The sequence below is a fragment of the Homo sapiens genome, chromosome X, assembly GCF_000001405.40.
Source record: "Homo sapiens chromosome X, GRCh38.p14 Primary Assembly".
Taxonomy (NCBI): Eukaryota; Metazoa; Chordata; class Mammalia; order Primates; family Hominidae; genus Homo; species Homo sapiens.
In genome coordinates this window covers 65,827,445-65,831,512 of record NC_000023.11, presented here as the reverse complement: position 1 = coordinate 65,831,512, position 4,068 = coordinate 65,827,445, and the positions used below count along the sequence as shown (strand labels likewise).

The 4,068-nt window shown below is 40.0% G+C and overlaps 1 annotated feature.

Annotated features, from left to right (window-relative positions):
- Positions 2,390 to 2,602: a silencer, noted in NCBI's record as "fragment chrX:65048753-65048965 (GRCh37/hg19 assembly coordinates)". NCBI's record gives its function as "represses an EF-1alpha promoter that drives an FKBP-Casp9 reporter gene in an ReSE screen in HepG2 liver carcinoma cells {active_cell/tissue: HepG2}" and the evidence as "EXISTENCE:reporter gene assay evidence [ECO:0000049][PMID:32094911]".

The following is a 4,068-nucleotide window of genomic DNA, read 5'->3' as shown; positions in this document are numbered from 1 at the left end:
ACACAAACAGGGAGTTCTAACTCCTATACTCCACCCAATAGCAGCAGGCAGGCTCAGGTGCTTTCCTCCCATGCCAGCAGTGTCAATAGAGAAGGAACAGAACGTCCATCTCCTTTCCCCCAACTGGAAGCAGTAGATGACCCAGGGTGGTGCCCCCCAGCTGTAATAACTCATTGTCAGAGGAAACATAGTGAAGAGTTTGGACTCTCACCCCTGTTCAGTGGTGATAGCAATGCCCCTCACTTTTACAACTAGAGAGTAAGAGGAGAATCTAGGAAAAGAAATGGACACTCTTTAAACCTGCATAGGAAGTACTGGGCAGACACCTGACAGATCCCAACATGAAACTGATCAGAATCAAGATCTAAAATGTATGAGAACTGAACCAAAGTATGGAATGCCATCCAGACTTTCAGAGTGGCCTCTGAGTGACACACAAACTACACAGACCCAAATAGAAATACAAGGGATCTGAAATTTGTAACGTTGAAACCACAACTCTCAAAAGTAGGCCAGGATTCAGTTTAAGTTCATTGTTTCTTTGTTGACTTTCTGTGTTGATTACCTGTCTACTGCTGTCAGTGGAGTATTGAAGTCCCCCACTATTATTGTGTTGCCATCTATCTCAGTTCTTAGGTCTTGCAGTAATTGTTTAATAAATCTGGTAGCTGCAGTGTTAGATGCATATATATTTAGATTGTGATAGACCTTTTATCATTATATAATATCCCTCTTTGTCTTTTTTAACTGTTGTTCCTTAAAGTTTGTTTTGTCTGATATAAGAATAGCTACTGCTTTTGGCGTCCATTTGCATGGAATATCTTTTTCCACCCCTTTACCTTAAGTTTATATAAATCCTTATATATTAAGTAAGGCTCTTGAAGAAAGCAGATATTTGGTTGGTGAATTCTTATCCATTATGCTATTCTGTATCTTTTAAGTGGAGCATTTAGGCCATTTACATTCAGCATTAGTACTGAGATGTGAGGCACTATTCTATTCATCATGCTAGTTGTTGCCTGAATACCTTTCAGTTTTTTTTATTGTGTTATTGTTTTATAGGTCTTGTGAGATTTATGCTCTAAGAAGGTTCTATTTTTGTGTATTTTGACTAAGAATGTTCTATTTTCGTGTATTTTGAGTTTTTGTTTCAAGATTTAGAGGTCCTTTTAGCAGTTCTTGTAGTTCTGGCTTGGTAGCGGCAGATTCTCTCAGCATTGTCTGAAAAAGACTGTGTCTTTCCTTCATTTTTGAAGCTTAGTTTCACTGAATACAAAATTCTTGACTGACAATTGTTTTGTTTAAGGCTAAAGATAGGACCCCAATCCCTTCTAGCCTGTAGGATTTCTGCTGAGAAATCAGCTGTTAATCTGATTAGTTTTACTTTATAGGTTACCTGATACTTTTGCCTCACAGCTCTTAAGATTCTTTCCTTCATCTTGACTTTAGATACTCTGATAACTATGTGCCTAGGCAATAATCTTTTTGCAATATATTTTCTTGGTGTTTTTGAACTTCTTGTATTTGGATGTCTAGATCTCTAGCAAGGCCAAGGAAGTTTTCCTCAATTATTCCCTCAAATATGTTTTTTCAAACTTTTAGATTTCTCTTCTTCCTCAGGAACACCAGTTATTCCTAGGTTTGGTCATTTAACATAATCTCAAAATTCTTGGAAGATTTGTTTACTTTTTTAAATTCTTTTTTCTTTATCTTTGTCAGATTTGGTTAATTCAAAACCTTGTCTTCCAGCTCTAAAGTTTTTACTTCTATTTTTTAAATTTTATTATTGAGACTTTAATTTGCATTTTGCATTTCTCTAAGTGTGTCCTTCATTTCCAGAAGTTGTGATTGTTTTTTATTTGTGCTATCTATTTCTCTGGAGATTTTTTATTCATATCCTCTAACACTAAAAAAAAATTTTAAGTTGGTATTCACCTTTCTCTTGTGCCTCCTTGAGTAGCTTAATAATTCACCTTCTGAATTATTCATCTGGCAATTCAAAGTTTCATTATTTGTTTGGACCCATTGATGGTGAGCTAGTGTGATCTTTTAGGGGTGTTAAGGAACATTGCTTTGACATATTACCCGAATTGTTTTTCTGGTTCCTTCTCATTTAAGTAGACTATATCAGAGGAAGGATTTGGGGTTCAAGGGCTACTGTTCATATTTTTTTGTCCCACAGAGTGCTCCCTTGTTGTGATGCTCTCTCCCTTTCTCTAGGGATGGGGCTTCCTGAGAGCCTGACTGCCATGATTGTTATTTCTCTTCTGGGTTTATCCACCAATGGAGCTATCAGGCACTGGGCTGGTACTGAGGAGTGTCTGCAAAAAGTTCTGTGATGTGATCCATCTTCAGGTTTCTCAGTTGTGGAGACAGGCACCTACTCCAGCGGAGGTAACAGAGGAGTGAAGTGGACTCTGTGTGGGACCTTGACTGTAGTTTTGTTTAGTGTGCTGTTTTTCTCAACTGCTGGTTGTGCTGGCTGTAAAATTGTCATGTGGATAGCCTCAGGACCTCTGGCTAGCCAGGATGTTACAGGCGGTGGGATTAGCTGTTGATTTCTCTTCTCATGGGGCAGGTTTGTTCTGTTATGAGTTGCTGTAGTGGTTTAAGTTGGTTGTTCCCAAGCTAGGAAGTGGCACTTTCAAAAGAGAGCATCAGCTGTGGTAGTATAGAGAGGATACAAGCTTACCCTAGGGTTGCCTGGATAAGTACTTGGGTTTCTTAGGTGTTGCATGGGGCCATACGGCTCCCAAGAGATTATGTTTCTTGTCTTTGGCTACCAGCGTGGGTAGAGAAAGACCATCAGGTGGGGAAAGGGTTAGGCATATCTAACCTTAGACTCTTCTTGAGTGGGGCTTGCTGCAGCCACTATGGGGGATGGGGGTGTGTTTCCCAGGCAGATGATGTTATGTTCCCAGGGGATTATGGCTGCCTCTGTTGTGTTATACAGGTCACCAGGGAAGTAGGGGAAAGCCAGCAGTGACAGGCCTCACCCAGCTCCTACTCAGACAGAAAGGCCAATCTTACTTCTGCCACACTCCCCCAACAGCACAAGTTTATATCCAGGCAGCCGGTGAGCAGGGCTTGGAACTTGAGCCAGGCTACAAGCATCCTTGTTGAGAAAGCAAACAGGGATTTTCTTGCTGAGAAAGCAAACAGGGCTTTCAGCTTTGCCCCTCCCCACTGTGGCTTCTGTGCTCATATCTGCATTTCTTGTTCACCCCCACTCCCGGATTCTGCCCTGGAAAATTTGTGCTTGGTCAAAATTATTACAAAGTTCAGCTGGAAGTTTCCTTCTCCCTGTGATCTTTCCCCAATTTCACTGGCACCCTCCCCAAAAACCCCTGTGAGATAACATCAGAAATGGGTTCCCTGGGCTTCCTTGGGGGCCAGGAGTGCCTACAGGGCCCTTTCCACTGCTTCTTCTACTTTTATATTTTGCTTGGCTCTCTAAATTTGTTTCAGTTCTAGGTAAGGTTAAATCCTTCTCCTGTGATCTGGATTTTCAGGCTCCCCATTGAGGATGTGTGTTCAGAGGCAGACTTTCCCTCTTTCACACTTTGGGCACTCAGTTTTTCAGCTCTTTCTCGGAGTTTTCAACAGCACACTGCTTCTTTTAAAGGGTCTACGAATTCTTTGGTTTTCCAGGTATGCTCCTGCAGTAGTTCTTGGAGCAAAAGTCTACATGCTCTTCTGTCCATCCAAATGAAACCTGCATCTTGCCTCCTATCCACCATTTTCCTAAAAGTCTACAAAGGAAATTATTTTTGAGAGAATAGATGTGATTTTTAACCAGTCATGGAATTAATGTTTGTGCATTAGTCACAGCAATACAAAGTCTTCCCAAGAACATGTGTAATTTTTATTTATCATCCATGTGTTTTCATATCCTTAGAAGCAAAATGTATACTCAATCAATGTTATTAAAATTTGCAACTACTAATGGAATTATTATTTTTTTTTGTTTGGATCATAAAGGCATAGTAATATTTTGATTTTGCAAGTTTACTCCCAATAATTCTAGGTATTTAGTATGCCTTTTAAGCTAATTGTGAATGATAAACA